This window comes from Homo sapiens, chromosome 3 (genome assembly GCF_000001405.40).
Source record: "Homo sapiens chromosome 3, GRCh38.p14 Primary Assembly".
Taxonomy (NCBI): Eukaryota; Metazoa; Chordata; class Mammalia; order Primates; family Hominidae; genus Homo; species Homo sapiens.
Genome location: NC_000003.12, coordinates 45659135 through 45675512, shown reverse-complemented (window position 1 = coordinate 45675512; position 16378 = coordinate 45659135). Strand labels below are relative to the sequence as shown.

The 16378-nt window shown below is 45.2% G+C and overlaps 1 protein-coding gene across 1 annotated transcript in view; it reads right to left on the bottom strand.

Moving 5' to 3' along the window:
• LIMD1 (LIM domain containing 1) overlaps positions 1 to 16378 on the bottom strand; it is a 91591-nt gene that overhangs the window by 10829 nt on the left and 64384 nt on the right. Inside the window, exons 3-7 of the mRNA NM_014240.3 lie at positions 9796 to 9863; positions 7157 to 7219; positions 2693 to 2823; positions 2008 to 2059; positions 1102 to 1170 (exon numbers count right to left, since the gene is read on the bottom strand). Coding sequence (NP_055055.1) covers positions 1102 to 1170; positions 2008 to 2059; positions 2693 to 2823; positions 7157 to 7219; positions 9796 to 9863 — 383 coding nt within the window. The remainder of the gene's footprint in view (positions 1 to 1101; positions 1171 to 2007; positions 2060 to 2692; positions 2824 to 7156; positions 7220 to 9795; positions 9864 to 16378) is intronic.

Here is a 16378-nt window from a genome sequence, read left to right as displayed (position 1 = left end):
CTGTTGCCCAGGCTGGAGTGCAGTAGCATGATCTCAGGTCACTGCAACCTCCACTTCCCAGGTTCAAGCAATTCTCCTGTCTCAGCTTCCCGAGTAGCTGGGACTACAGGCGTGTGCCACCACGCCCACTAATCTTTGTATTTTTAGTAGAGATGGGTTTTTGCCATGTTGGCCAGGCTGGTCTCGAACTCCTGACCTCAAGTAATCTGCCGGCCTTGGCCTCCCAAAGTGCTGAGATTACAGGCGTGAGCTATCGCGCCCGGCCCCTTATATTTCTTTTGGATAGCACTGGTCTAGAAAATGTGGAGAGGCCTGTTGAGCAAATGTCCTCACCTTTTTCTCCTGCAGTGACCTGGGGCACCTGGGGTCCCAGCAGCAATGATTCCCACCCATTTCTTCAGTGTTGGCAGTGGGACAAGTCTATATGAGGGACACCCCCATTCTCTACCCACAGGGTCACCAAATGAATCTAATCTCCTTCCATGGGTGAATTCACTTAATTGTGGCTGAAATTCCATGGTCACCCTTCACAAGGGTTGGTGAGGGGCAACCTCTAGCTTTCCTGACAGTCATCAGGTACTAGTGCTCCTTCATCTTGGGTTGGGACAAAGGGCAGGAAGGGGCAGGCGGACCCCACCCGCCTTCACACCACCAGCTGACATGCCTGTTTCCAAGAGGGGCTTCATGATTTCCAGGGCTCAGCTGAGAAAGGAGCTTCAGGCAGATAGAACAGCCTGCAAGCTGGAGGGGAGGGAGTCCCTTCCCCAAATCGCACACCTGCCTGACAATGTGGCCCGCAGATAGGACCTGAAACCCATGCTCTCCACGACCCTCCTAGCTCTGCAGCTTCAGGGAGAGCAGCTCCAACAGTTGCAGGACTTGATAGTTCTGAATATGCAGAAGAAAGACCTTTATACCTTGAGCATTTCCATCTTCTCCTACCTCCCCCAAGAACCAGCCTTCATTCCATTTCCTACAGAAGCTCTAGAGGGCTGACCCTTGCCAGAATCTTGTTGACTGCCTCTTGCCCCAGTCAACGCAGGATGCTTTTCTCTTGGATGTCTACAATGGGCTTTGGGGGCTGGGTGGGGAGGGGTCTACCTCGCAGTGGTAACACTCCACGTGGTAGTCTCTGTCCATGGACACGACACGGATGGTCTCATCTGAGCCCTGGGACCAGAGAAAAGCAAGAACACATAGGAGAGGCCTGTTAGGGGGGCTGTCGGGCTTGATGTACCGTGGGGTGGGGAGGGAAGAGGGTTTTGGGGGTAACAAGTAGGTGGCCTTGGGAGGAGAAGGTAAATCAGGAGTACTTACTGGAAGAAGAATACATTTAAGCTGATGAGAGGGGAAGTAGGAGGGATAGGAGTCCTTCCTTCTAGAATGTCAGAGTTAACACTGAAAGAAAGACCTACATGGACACTTATTTTAAAAAATGAAGAAAAGACAAGCCTTTCTCCTCATCTGCTAATCTAAGAATTAGTATCAAGTAAGGGAGTTTGACCTGGTTATGGGGACAAATCAGCACAAGAAGGGTACTGGGTTGGGGAAGCCAGTCAACAAGGAAGGGTGAAGACACGACTTATCTCAAAGGTGAAGTGGGGTTTTTTTTGGTTTTTTTTTTTTGGAGACAAGGTCTTGCTGTCACCTGCTGGAATGCAGTAGCACCATCATAGCTCGCTGCAGCCTCAAACTCTTGGGCTCAAGCAGCTAGGACTACAGGCACATGCCACCACACTTGGCCAATTTTTAACAATTTTTTGTAGAGATGAGGTCTTGCTATGTTGCCCAGGCTGTTCTTAAACTCCAGGCCTCAAGCAATTTTCCTGCCTGGGCCTCCTAAAAGGGGTGGGATTACAGGCGTGAGCCACTGCACCAGGCCAGAGTTGAGATTTTTAAAAGGATACCTTAAAAGCTGTAAGGACAGGACATGGATCTTGTAAATGAGCCCAGGGAGATATTCATGTCTTAGAAGCCCCTGGGAGCATGTCTGGAAGGGCATCTTACCTCAGGTGGAAGGATGGGAAGCCCACAGGCTGCACACTTGGGGGCCAGCACCCTGTGGGGAGAAACAAAGCAGCAATAAATGTTGCTTCTGGGAGCAAATTCCAGAGTCAGACTTGCACTTGGAATCCACATGGAGCCTTCCTCCATGCCGCCTCCTGCCCCTTGCTCTCCTCCCTCATAGAATGACTGGTACCTGGCTCACTTTGTGGAATATGCCTTAGTATTTGCTCCCCAGCTGCAATGAGGACACTGGCTGCCTCTCACTCTTCTGGGGACAGCACTAACTGATTTGTTTACACCTCTCATGGTGCCTAGCACAGGCCCAGGCAAACCAAGAGTGGTAGGAACCAGCACTGCATAGGGGCCTTGTGAAGTTAGGTAACGCTGAAGCCACAGGGCTTGGTGGATTCCTCCCGAGGCCTAGCTACAAATATGATTATTAGTTTTTCTGTGCTCTGTTGTTTTTTTTTTTTCACTAAACATGATTCTTTAACCCATTCCTGTCAACACTGGCATCGACCAACCTCCCAAGGTCCCTGCTGTACCCCTCAAAACCATTAAGCCTTTGCTGGACTGTGATCTAAGGGCGGCTGGCAAACACAGTTTTGTCGGTTTCCACCACTCACTCTGCTGAGATCAGCTTGGCCTACACGAATGGGTCCTGTCTGCTCCCATCCCTTCTTACTTGTGGTAATCTCGGACACAGTAGATCTTGTTCTCTGAGTCCACGGTGAAGGGCACCCCATCCAAACACTCATTACAGATGACACAGCGGAAACAGCCGGGGTGGTAGGACTTCCCCAGGGCTTGCAGGATCTGGAGCAGAGACCAAGACTCAGTGGGGATTATAGGGAAGGATGAGATGGTGGAAGGGGAGAGGAACACATCAGGCCTAAGGATTACATGAGCAGTCACACACAGAGTACACTTACCCCCGAGTTTCACCTAGGAGAAGAGCAAGAGGTGATGGGGTGGGAAAGGCAAATCTGTTTAGATGAATACACAGAAGAGACCACACAGGAATCCTTCTCCTGCAGCCTCTCACAGGGTCTCTGAGCTGGCAGGGAAAGAGGGCTCCTTTCCAACCCTCACCCAGAACAGGAAACTCTTGCATAGTTCTTTAAGAGAAAGAGATGGTAAGGAAGGGATGGGCCAATCCCAGGGCCAAAATCCACCACGAAGAAGTGGGAAACGATGCAAAGCAGGGCCACAGAAGGATACATCCTTCCCAGATTTGGGAAGCAGCAAGTACTCGGAAAAATGAAAAGAAATTCCATGTGGAAATGGCAGAGCTCAAAAGGAACCCCTTCACTTCTGCCTCTTGGATGCCCCTTCTATGCAGCTTTGACTCTGGAGCATGATAATCTAGAAGTTCTGACTCAACCCAATGACCTCAAATCCAAGTGTAATAAGTAAAGTTTCTCTGTTGTTGTTTTTAAACGCAATAGAGGGAAAGCCCCACAAACTTCTTCCTCTCAGTGTCATTTAATCTGGATCTGGATGGGATACCTGGAACTGCCAGAGCCAACCTGAAACCAGGACAGACCCAAGACATGGACAGCAGGAAAGAGAAGAGATGGAAAGAACATCCTTGGTGAGGTCCGTAAGTAACTGAATTAACTCATCATGGAACCACATACCTCCAAGCCTCTTTTTAGGTGAGATAAAATATCATTCCTATGAAGTCAGTGGTCCTCGAAATGTGTGTGGCCCCAGACCTTCAGCATTAGCATCACCTGCAAACTTGTTAATAATGCACATTCTTGGACCCCATCCCAGATTTCTTGAATCAGAAACTCTGGGGGTAAGGCCCAGCAGTTGGTATTTTAATAGGGTGATTCTGATATATATTAAAGTTGGAGGATCATTGGTTTAACTCGAACTGAGTCTGGGTTTTTTCTATAATTTGCAGTTGAAAGCATCTTCACTGACTTAATAGGAGATTCATTTCTGCAATTACCTGCATCATGAAACTTAGCAAAAACAACTGAACTACAGAATCAACATGAGCAAGGTCACACCAAAACATGCATCTGCAAAGAATGTACAGAACGGTCATCAGCATCCAGCAGTGGGAGCCCACACAGAAAGCCTTCAAACAGGCTGAAGAAAGGGGATTTTGGATTTGGGGAAGCCTTGTCAGTACACTGTGAGACCCAGGGGTAAAGATATGCTGTGTTACAGCTCCTTCCCCTGGAAGCCTCAGGCGGATAACTCCACACTGCACAAGCTCCAGCCAAGAAGGCAAGAGGAGGGCGTTGTGCTATTCCAGCTTTCCTCTGAATGCTCAGCTTTCAAGCTTCCTCATTCCCTCTTGGGTTTCCCTAACCTTTGAGGGCCCTCTCAATCTGCAGTAAGGCAAAACAGGAAGAACAACTGGCTGGGCTTCCAAAACCCATTTGGCAATTTGGACCTTGGAATGCATTTTCCCCAAGATGAATGCTGTCTTGGCAGAAAGAGATCCTTAAATTAATTTAATCCACATTGTGCCTAAAGTAAGATTAGAAAAAGATGCCATTTTGCTGCATTGTGACTAGCTGTAATACTTTTTTTATGTGAGACTATGCCTGGTTCTAACCTGCAAGCCCAGAATGTACCCCTCTATTAACAAAAGGGTATATAGAGAGACAATTTACACAAAGAGTTAGACAGCTGGGGTTCTGTCTAGACATTCACTAAAAGTTTTCAAGTCCTAGGGAAGACCTGAAAGACTGAAGCTTCAACTTCATACTATCCCATATGGTAGAGATCTCACATCAAGAGATGGGGACTATTTCCCCCTCCCCTTGAATCAGAACTGGCTTTGTGACTTTCTTTAATTAACAGAAAGCAGAAGAAACAATGTTCTGAGATTTCTGAGTCAAAGGCTTAAGAAGACTGGTAGCTTCCACTTCCTATCTCTTGCTGTAAGGAAGTCTGAACTAGACTACTGAATGATTAGAGGCTACAGGGAGAGGGGCCTGGAGGGTGAGAGGTCATCTTGGATGTTCCAGTTCAACTGTGCTACCAGCTGAACAAAGTTAAGTAGGAGACCCCAGCCAATGCCACACAGAGCAGAAGAATTGGCCTGCTAAACCCTGACCTAAATCCTGACCCACAGCATGAAGCATGATGATAAATAAGAAATCACTATTGTTTTAAACTACAAAGTTTTAGGGTGGTTTGTCATGCAGCAATAGATAAATGACATACCCTGAGGTTATCCAAAGAAGTCTTAGGATTACTAGAACTAAGAATAGGGTATAATCATACTCATAAATTCAGAGCATGTTGACTTCATATGAAGTAGGTTTGTCAGAAGGACACTAAAAACAAAGGCAAATTCTGCTAAAGAAATAGAGCCCTACAGAGTCTAGAAGATACCTGGGAAGGAGAGGTAAGCATATGTAGCTTCTGCCTACCTCCCACTGCGAGCATGGGGGAAGGGCCACGTTTCCCAGGGAGGTCTTGGCTACTAATGAGGACATGGCTCTAATAGGGCTAAGACCTCTGCTGAGGTCTGTCAAAGCCTGGGAGATAGCAGATATTCATCACGAATGGGGAGGGCTGTGGGTCACTGATGTTTTATAAATATTAGCATATAACCAGCAGAAATGAGTGTTTATGTCCATCAAAGACATGTTCAAGAGTATTCACAGCAGCTTCATGCATAAATAGCAAAAAACTAGAAACCACCAAATCCCCATCAACATGAGATGGAGAAATAAATTGTGCTATATCCATACAATGGAATTCCACTTAGCAATACAAATCAATAAACTACCAATACAGGTAACAGCATGGATGAAGCTCAAAAACATATGTAATAAGACCTGAAAGAGTCTATACTATATGTTTCTATTTATATGAAGTTCCAAAACCAGCAAAATGAATTTCTGGCAATAGAAGTTGGAATAATGGTTGCCTTTGTGGGAGTGGGGTCTTGAGTGGGAATAGACAAGAAGGAACTTTCTGGAGTTTGGGAAGTGTTCTATATCTTGATCTGGGTGGTGGTTACAGGGGTATATGCACATGTGAAAACTCGTTCAGATGTACACTTAAGATTAGTATCTTTTACTCTATGAGTTATTTCTCAATAAAAAGGTAAAATTAAAAATACTAATAATTAGAAATTATCTTCTCTAGAATGAAATTAATGAGTCAGCTTAGAGAGGGACTTAACTGTTTCCAACTTAAAGTATGTTATATAATCATTTCCTCTGATCAGTATATTAAAGAACTTCTTAAAGGCTGGTTTCCAATGGTGAACAATTTGATGTTGTATTCATTAACCTCATAACCTAACCCTCTAGGGAAAAATTGTCCCCACTGAAGACCTGAAGCCCAAAATAACCTCAGAGAGCCAGTGACTGAGCAAAGAATGGAATGTATAAAACCTGGTCCTTGCTCTGCTGTCTCAGAACTAAATGACAGGCCCTAAAAACTCATCTTCGTAATGGTGTGAGCTGGGCATAACACAGGGAGAAAAACAACTTTGCTCCTCTGGCTTTCTGCATTTGACTCCAAGGTAGCTGAGATTTCTGCAGTAAAAACAGACTGTATTTAGCATCTCACCTGGGATGCCACAAGGATCACAGAGAAGCCAGAGGGAGGCCAGTGCGATTCAAACAGCCCAGAGGAGGAGAAAGCATTATCGGAAACATGATAGCGTGTGCTCTAGATGGTTAAAGATGTTAATTCCAATAAAAGCCAACAATGTGGGTTCTATTAGAACAAGCAAGCTGTACTTTACAGGGACTTTTTTTTTTTTTTTGAGGTGGAGTCTCACTCTGTTGCCCAGGCTGGAGTGCAGTGGCGTGATCTTGGCTCACTGCAAACTCCGCCTCCAGGGTTCAAACAATTCTCCTGCCTTGGCCTCTCAAGTAGCTGGGACTACAGGCATGCACCACCACGCCCGGAAAATTTTTGTATTTTTAGTAGAGACAAGGTTTCACCATATTGGCCAGGCTGGTTGGTCTCAAACTCCTGACCTCGTGATCCGCCCGCCTCGGCCTCCCAAAGTGCTGGGATTACAGGCATGAGCCACTGCGCCCAGCTGTAACCACAAATCAAGATAAGAAACACTGTCCTCAATTATTAATTTCTTTTTTCTCTGAACACCTCCTCCTCCACCTGAGATGCTGTTCTCTTCTTTGGCTGACCTACTCACCATGTCCATGATCAGATGTCCACAAAGAAAACACCTGTCAGCCGACTGCTGGAAACCAGAGTACTGCAGAAGAAAAAGAAAAGAAAGTTAAACCCAGACTGGTAAGATGAATCAGCCACTTCCCCAACAGCCAAGAGGATTATAAGGAATTTCTCAGAAAGATGTGTCACTCTGTGCAGAATTCTGTCATCCCCAAGTACAACACAGCTGTGGGCTGAGTCATAGAATATTCTCTGCCACGAAAGCCATCACAAATACTAGTACCACTCACTCTAACAATGACTGTGTCTGGGCACCCACAGCATGCCAGGCTCTATGTAAGGGACTGTATATAGAGATGCTTTAATCCCATCTCAGTGGTTCTCAAAGAGCAGTTCCCTGGCATCACTTGAAAGCTTGTAAAAAATGCAAATCCTTGGGCTCCACTCCAGACCTACTGATTTGGAAACTCAGGGGGTGGGTTCTGGCAATCTGTGTTTTCACAAGCCTTTCAGGGGATTCTGAAACCATCACTCTAATGCTTACAACAATTCTGCAAGGTCTACATTATTACCCAGAATCCTCAAATAGAAGCAGAGGGCAGCTCAGAGAGGTTAAGTGAACTTTTCAAGGTCACACAGCCAACAAAGGGTAAGGACAGAAATCAAATTCAACTCCGGTTCTGGTTAAAAAGCTAATGCCTTTTATAGTTAGCTTCAAAGAAACTTAATAAATATCTACTTTACCTTACCTTATCTTACCTAAACACATACACACACACAGTCTTGAAAGACATGAGGTGCTCTCTTCAAAAAACATACTAGATGCTACACGCTAGACTAGAAGTTTGGGTATTACAAACACAACTTAACTGGGGGAAACCTTATGAAAGGAAGCTGGGAAAAACAAAAAAGGGAAACTTTCTGCAACTCTACACCATGTGGTGGAGGTTTCTGTTGTCTGGCACCTACGCCCCATTCTGGGGGTAATAGCTCTCTATTTTCATTTGAGATCCAGCCCCCAGCTCCACACCACGTGGCTCCCATCACCATGTGGGCTGGCTCCATGCCAGGGCCCAGGCAGGGCATTGACAGATCTGGCCCATCAGAGCCTTGCATTCCTCCAGCACTGTTACTTTTTCCAGGCGTGGGCATGTGGCCCAGTAAGAGCCAATGAGACTCCATCAGACGTCTGTGGAGGATTCCGAAGGAGGGACTGGCACTCTTGCCCATCGGATGTGAAACTGAGAGAATGTAAACTCTGGGGTCCTCCCAACATCTGGCCATCACATAGGACCTGAGACTGAAGCTAACACTGAGATACACGGCCAAAAACTGTGGAGAAAATGACTCCTGAGGCACTGCTGGAATAATTTCCTTTTTACTTAAGCCCGTTTGGGTTTGCTAGTCTGTTTCTGGCCAACAGGAATCATAATGAATCAACTTTTCAGTGAAAACCAAATAGAGCTTTTCTCAAGGGAAGGCAGGGAGAAGCTGGCCCTGAGCCCATCTCTGCATCTCACATTCCTCATCCCTGAGATGACAGAGTCATTTCAACCACCAACTACCAAGCACCCAGTCTGCATGGCATCTTGTTAGAATCTGCAGGTGTGAAGGTGAAGACGCATGTTCTTTCTATCCTGGAAGCTTTCAGTCAATGGAGGAGAGACTTGTAAGCAGACATACTGCTCAGGGCTAACAGCCCACAGCCCTGCCAGGGCAGGCCCTGGGCATGGTGGCAGCACAGAAGAGCTCCTCCATTGTGGGTGCAGGAGGGACAGGAAGGCTGTTGGGGGGATCTGGGAAAATAAAGGGGCAAGACATTGCAAGCAGGGGAAATGGCCCAAGCAAAGGCACGAAGGCATGAGGTTGCATAGGTGTGGGCAGCTGGGGATTCCAGACCTCGGAGAGCTTCTGAGTGTGCTTTGTACCCTGCACATGCTGGGACCAAGCAGGCCAGGTTTATGCCCTATAAGGCCTCTTGATGCGGGTGTGCGGAGGCCGTTAAGCTAGCCTGGCTGAGCCATGCCGGAGGTATGAACGGAGGCAGAATTGTGGAAGACATGGCAGCACAGAGTTCAACGCCTGGCTGCGTTCAAGGAGGTGGGGTTGAGGACAAACCTAGGAGGCAATTCTCACAGATCAGGACCCAAGGCAAGGTAAGATTTTTCTGCTTCACAGAAATATGGTGAGGGGCTGGTACGTGAGGGGTTGGGACACAGCCCAGGGGCCAGTGGGATGCCAGCAGCTGGCCTCAGAGGTGCGGCAGGGCTAGAGCTCAGGTCTGGGAGCCACTGGCACATGGATGGACTTCCAGTCCATGGGAGAAGCTAGATCCCCAGAGAGAGTGGGATGAGAAGAAGAGAGCCCAGGTCCCAGTCCAGTGGTCTAAGAGGAGGAGTCCAGGGTGGTGGAAGAGGCAGAACTGCAGAAAGCAGCAAGAGGATAGCCAAGTGACCCCACAGTTCCTTCAAAGTACAAAGCTGTGTGGTTTGCCATTGGCCTCAGGAACATGGCCACCCCCAAGTATCTACAGAAGGAAAGGCAGGGCCCCTCTCTCCAGCAGTGCAGCTTCCCTACACGCTGGCCCAGGTCCCCCCAGGCCCCTGCCCTCTGACTCTGGCCAGGACATGCAAGGGGAGGCTTCGGTGACACACTCACCAGGAAGTCTTCTTCACAAAACACTTTGCCGTTGACAAAATAAAAGGCTTTTCCTCTCAGCTTCCGGCCTAAGGAAAAAATCACAAACACAGGGTAAAAAAAGAAAAATTTTAATATGCAGTGGAAAAAGTGAAAAGTGAAAAGCAAAATCTTTAGGCAGAAATAAACACGTAAAAACCGCCAACTGTCAATGACACTTTCCAGTTCCTAAAAGATGCCGTGGCCCTCGGCGAGAGGCAGGCAGGCTGAGGCCGGGAGGAAGGGTGCCCTGGCAGGTGCTATTTGGCAAAAAGACTCAAGGGCTGACTTGGAAGTCATCCTACGCTCACCTTCCAGCACCTCCTATCTGCTTGGAAAGATGCCAGCAAAGCATTTGGTGGCAGGACAGCAGAGGCAACACAAGGGGGCATCCAAGCAACAGTCTCTTGTGAAGATGCAGTTTCCCACAGGCATTTATGACAGTCACCTTGGACATATGCTCCAGGACCATTGTGACCGCCTATCAGGAGAGTCCTATACATTGGTTAACTATTATTTTCCTATCTTTTTCTCACCTAAACTGTAGAAAACACACATTGTTGGAAGGATATTTTTGTTTCTCTTGACCTAAAACGAGTAGGCGGGAGTGGGAAAAGTTCAAAGCACCCTGATTCCTTGGATGGAACTCTTGCTTCCATAAGGCTAACACAGGTAAACATCCTTTATCAGTCCCTCTCATCTCTTATGGAAAACACAATGGGGCTGTGAGCTCAAGGTCAGCAGAGGGTGTCCCGGGATCCCCTACTTGGCAGTATTCACAGATCTGAGGGCATTTCCAGTGCTAGGCTCAACACATACTCAACAGGCAATGTGGGGGTTTCAGAAACTGAATGAACTCTCTGCAAAAAGTTAAACCAAGCCCTTTGGGGCCAGCCCACAAAATGAAAGTAAAATCATCATTGTCACAAACAGTGCCCGAGATACAGAGAAACCCGCCAGACGAACACTGGCTGCCCTCGCCTGGTGACGCCCACAGGAGGCAAAGCAGCGCAAGGCAGATAGCGACAAGACTGTCAAAGAACATTCCTCAGACCTCAGAGAGGACCCTGAAAGCATCAACGCAGCGGAAAAGGCATAAAAAAGGAAGTAACTTTAACTACAAATCCATCTTCTTTGCTGTGGTGGTCGTTGCTACCAGATCTAGTGTTGTCTGAATGTTTCCCCCAGCCCTCCTGTAGGTTCCTGTAGGACTTTTTAATACTCTGAGTATATGCTACATTCCTTGAAGATATAGCTAAGTCAGCTTCATACTTGGAGGGGAAGCTTTGGCAATACTCTAACAGAGTGCAGTACATGTTGAGTTAAAGAAAAAAGGAAGAGTAAGCCATGGATCAGAAGATGGCCAAAGCACATATAAAATGCTATTAGTATCTGGCCGGGCACAGTTGTTCACGTCTGTAGTCCCAGCATTTTGGGAGGCTGACACGGGAGGATCACTTGAGGTCAGGAGTTTGGGACCAGCCTGGCCAACATGGTGAAACTTTGTCTCTACAAAAGGTACAAAAATTGGCCGGGCACAGTGGCTCAAGCCTGTAGTGCCAGCACTTTGGGAGGCTGAGGCAGGTGGATCACCTGAGGTCAGGAGTTCGAGATCAGCCTGGCCAATATGGTGAAACCCCATCTCTACTAAAAATACAAAAAAGAGCTGGGCATGGTGGCATGCACCTGTAACCCCAGCTACTTGGGAGACTGAGGCAGGAGAATCGCCTGCACCTAGGAGGCGGAGGTTGCAGTGAGCCGAGATCATGCCACTGCACTCCAGCCTGGGTGACAGAGGGAGACTCTGTCTCAAAAAAAAAAAAAAAAAAAATTAGCCAGGCATGGTGCCACGCACTACTTGGGAGTCTGAGGCAGAAGAATCACTTGAACCCAGGAGGTGGAGATTGCAGTGAGTCAAGACTGGGCAACAGAGCAAGACTCTGTCTCAAAAATAAATAAATAAAATAAATTAAAATAGTATTAGTACCTAAGACACAAAGAACACCAATTAATAAGAAAAAGATAAATAATCCAATGGGGAAATGAGCAAAGGGCAGGAAGAGAAAGTGCATAGAATAGAAAACCTGTTATACCTTAGGAATAACCAGGATTATTAATCATAACCCCAATATCTATAATAAAAAGATGTTCTATCCTATCAACAATCAGGATAATGCAAACTAAAACCACAATGAGATTCTATCTCACTTTCATAGATTGGCAAAAATTACTAAATCTAATAGCATGTCTTGGAAGGTGTGGGACAAGAGGAGCCCTTTCACACTGGTGGGAGTATCATCAACTGGGATGACTACTTGGGAACAATTTGTCAAGGGCCAATAGATCTGAAAATACACATAATCCACAACACACTTCTAAGGTTGCCCCTTGAGAAGATTACCCAAACATGCATGAGGACAGACATGTATGGATGTTCACGGCAACGTTGTTATGGAAAAACTAGAAGCGTCTTCAGTGTTCACTAGATATGAGAATTGATAAATAGACGAAGAAACTGGAGCTGTATTTACTGGATGTAATACCAGACAGCAGTCAAAATGAAAGGGCTAGATCTATGCATATCATTATTAATTGAACTGAACACCAGTGCAAATAAGGCAAAATGCCTGAAGATATACCAATGATCGTATATGTGTAAGTTTGAGAGTGCGCACACACACATACACAAACTAGTACTGTTTTGTTTTTTTTTTTTGAGACGGAGTCTCGCTGTGTCGCCCAGGCTGGAGTGCAGTGGCACGATCTTGGTTCACTGCAGCCTCTGCCTCCCAGGTTCAAGTGATTCTCCTGCCTCAGCCTCCCAAGCAACTGGGATTACAGGCACTCACCACCATACCCGGCTAATTTTTGTATTTTTAGTAGAGATGGTGGCCAGGCTGGTCTCGAACTCCTGACCTCAGGTGATCCACCCACCTCGGCCTCCCAAAGTGCTGGGATTACAGGTGTGAGCCACCATGCCCGGCCACAAACTAGTACTGTAAACTAGTACTGTATGTTTTTTATTGACAATAGTATATATGGTAACAGTAGGAAAATTTCAATTCATAATGGCAGCTGCCCTAGGGAAGGAAGGGAGAGGATGGGAAAAGGAATCAAGATGATTCCAATTTTTATATAATATTTTATTTCCTTTATAAAAATACAGAATCAAAGCTACAATGTAAAAATGTCTGTGCATTCTGGGTGATAGGTAAATAAGGATTATTTCCTATAGTACTTTCCAGTAGGTTTTAAAATACACACACAATTTTTATATATTTAATTTCCTTTATAAAAAATATCAAACCAAAACTATAATGTAAAAATGTCTGTGCATTCTGGGTGACAGGTAAATAAGGATTATTTCCCATAGTACCTTCCAGTAGGTTTTACACGCGCACACACACACACACACACACACACTTAGGTGAAACACCGTAAACGAAAAGGCAATAACAAACTAGAGCAAACATCTATACTGTATGACAGAAAAGGATGTAACTCTAATATGAAAATAACTCAAGTAACAGTCCTATATAAAAAATGGGTAAAGAATAGGCAGACAAACCACAAAATAAGTATGAATGATCAATAACTATAAAATAAAATCTTTAGCTTTCCTCATGATTTAAAAAATATTGCTGCCAGGCACAGTGGCTCACACCTGTAATTCCAACACTTTGGGAGGCCAAGGTGGGAGGATCACTTGAACCCAGGAGCTCAAGACCAGCCTAGGCAACACAGCAAGATCCCATCTCTACAAATAATAAAAAAGTTAGCTAGGTGTAGTGGGGCACGCCTGTAGTCCCAGCTACTTAGGAGGCTGAGCTAGGAGGATCACTTGTGCCTAGAGGTTGAGACTGCAGTGAGCTGAGATCACGTCTGTGCACGCCAGCCTGGGCAATAGAGTGAGACTCTGTCTCTCCAAAAACAAACAACAACAAAAAACCCTATGCTTTACCTATCAGACTAGCAAAGCTTAAAAAGAATGATAACCCCAGTGTTAGTAATGACACAGACAAACAGATACTTGTTCACACTCTGCAAGGGATAGCAGAAGCTAAAACAAGCTCTTAGGAGAGAAATTTGTATTAAATGTCAGTAGAATTTACAAAGTTCAGATATTTTCTCCCCAAAAATTCTATTTCAGGAATTTATCCTAGTTCCAGAAATCGTCATCTCAGATTTATAATAGCTTGCTAAAAATGAGCATCAAATGTCCAATTCCTATTAAATGATAACCCATATACATGTTGGAATATTATGCAGCCATAAAAAGATTGTGTTTTCAAAAAAATATTTATTGACAGGGAAAAATACTTAAAATATTTTAAAGGAAGTATATAAGTATGTGGGTTACAGTTATGAACACACTCACATATATGATGACAAAATTATGTGTACACTCATACACATAAGATGTACACCAAATTTTAAGTCATTATCTTTGAGTGTAAGAAATAGGTGATTTTCAATTACCATTTTTTCCTGCAATAATTATGCATTATTTTTATAACCTGAAACAAAGTTTAATGGAGTAGGGGAATGTGGGTGGGGGTGCATGGAAGGGATAATAGGACTTACATAGAAGGCCACAACTCTTTAGGTCTCCAAAGCTGCTCTCTTGTCCTCCCCTCAAAGTTACTGTTGCCCTCTCTTCTAGAAGGTCCCCATCCTTGAACGTTCGCAGTATTTTCTGACTCTGCTAAACTAAGGTACCAAGAATGTCTACCTACAGCTGGGTGATCTCAGGGATCATCATCAGAACCCCCTTGACAGCCATGGAAATTAATTTCAGTTACTTAAACTTTCTCTCTATAAAGGGACTCCAGAGAACTCGAAGTTTTAGAAAAGAAAATGAGAACTAACTAGAGTATCTTTCCCATACTTTTCCCACGTCGGACACCTACCTGGGTGACAGCTGATCTGCTGCCCTCTGTCCCTCCCCAGGAACAAGGTGACGAGGAACACAAACAGCCCACCTGGCCGGGCGCGGTGGCTCACGCCTGTGATCCCAGCACTCTGGGAGGCTGAGGCTGTTGGACCACTTGAGATCACGAGTTCGAGACCAGCCTGGCCAACATGGCGAAACCTCATCTCCACTAAAAATACAAAAATTAGCTTGGCATGGTGGCACGCGCCTATAATCCTAGCTACTTGGGAGGCCGCGGTAGGAGAATCGCTTGAACCTGGGAGGCGGAGGCTGCAGGAAGCTAAGATCGCGCCATTGCACTCTAGCCTTTATGACAGAGAGAGACTCCGTCTCGGGAAAAAAAAAAAAAAAAAAAAAAAAAGACAGCCCACCTAAGAGAAGCTTGCTCAACCAGTAAGCAAAACTATTCACACACTGTCTGATCACAAAGTCCAAATCTTTACTTGTGGAGCTCCCCACTTTCGCCTCTTCCTTCTCGGAATTCCCGCAGGGTAAACTCATTCCTCAAGAGAGGAAAGAAGGTGGGGCTGCAGTTGCGGATGGGGCCCCTAGAGGGAGCTAGGAGGCCACCAGGAAACGGCGCAGGACTTCCAGAGCTTAGGCTTCTGATCCAATGTATGGAGAACACAGCAAACAGCACTTTGGTTCCAGGAATGGGGTTAGCAAGTTCTAAGGAATCTGAGCTGGAAATCAACGTTTTGTGTAATAGGGCGAAGATCACCTCTATTCCAAAAATCACAGAGGAAGATCATTGAACATGCAGAAGCACTGAACCCTCTAGTGTTAAGAAACAAATTAAACGAAAGCTTTTTCATCCAGGAGATCAACAAAGATTTTTTAAGTGTTTGTGATTGTTGTCACTGTATATTTTCATAAGCTACTGCTGAGAGTGTAAGATGATAAACTCTCCCTGGAAGGGAAACTTTAAAATGTTTATCTCTGACTCAGTGAGGTTATCTGAGACTTAGCTTTGGGAAAGAATTTTAAAAAGTGAATAAATATTTACTTAGATCCAAACTGGCAGCCTTAGAGGAATGGTTATATAAACCAGAGTACATATAAATGATGAAATGTTACATAGCTATTTAAAATGTCATTTAAATAGTGTTTTAGTCATATTGGAAAATGCTTATATATAGCATATATATATGTTTGGGGATAGCATATATATATGTTTGGGGTTTTTTTGAGATGGAGCCTGACTCTGTCACCCAGGCTGGAGTGCAGTGGTGCAATCTGCAGCCTCAGCCTCCCAGGCTCAAGGAATCCTCCCACCTCGGCCTCCTGAGTAGATAGGGCTACAGGTGTGCACCACCACAACTGCCTAATTTTTGTATTTTTTTGTAGAGACAGTGTTTCGCCATGTTGTCTAAGGCTAGTCAACAACTCCTGGGCTCAAGTGATCAGCCCATCTCAGGATTACAGGTGTGAACTACTGCACCCAGACTGAAAATATATTAACAAGTGAAAAAAGCAAACTTGACAAGTGTATTTATAGTACAATTCCATTTCAGTAATTTGCAGATACCACTGATATGCAAAAGGGAAAAAAACAAACAGTGGGTAACACTGGTAGAAGTATAACAGTGAAACATCACTTTCTACTTTATATACTTTAATATTTTAAATTTT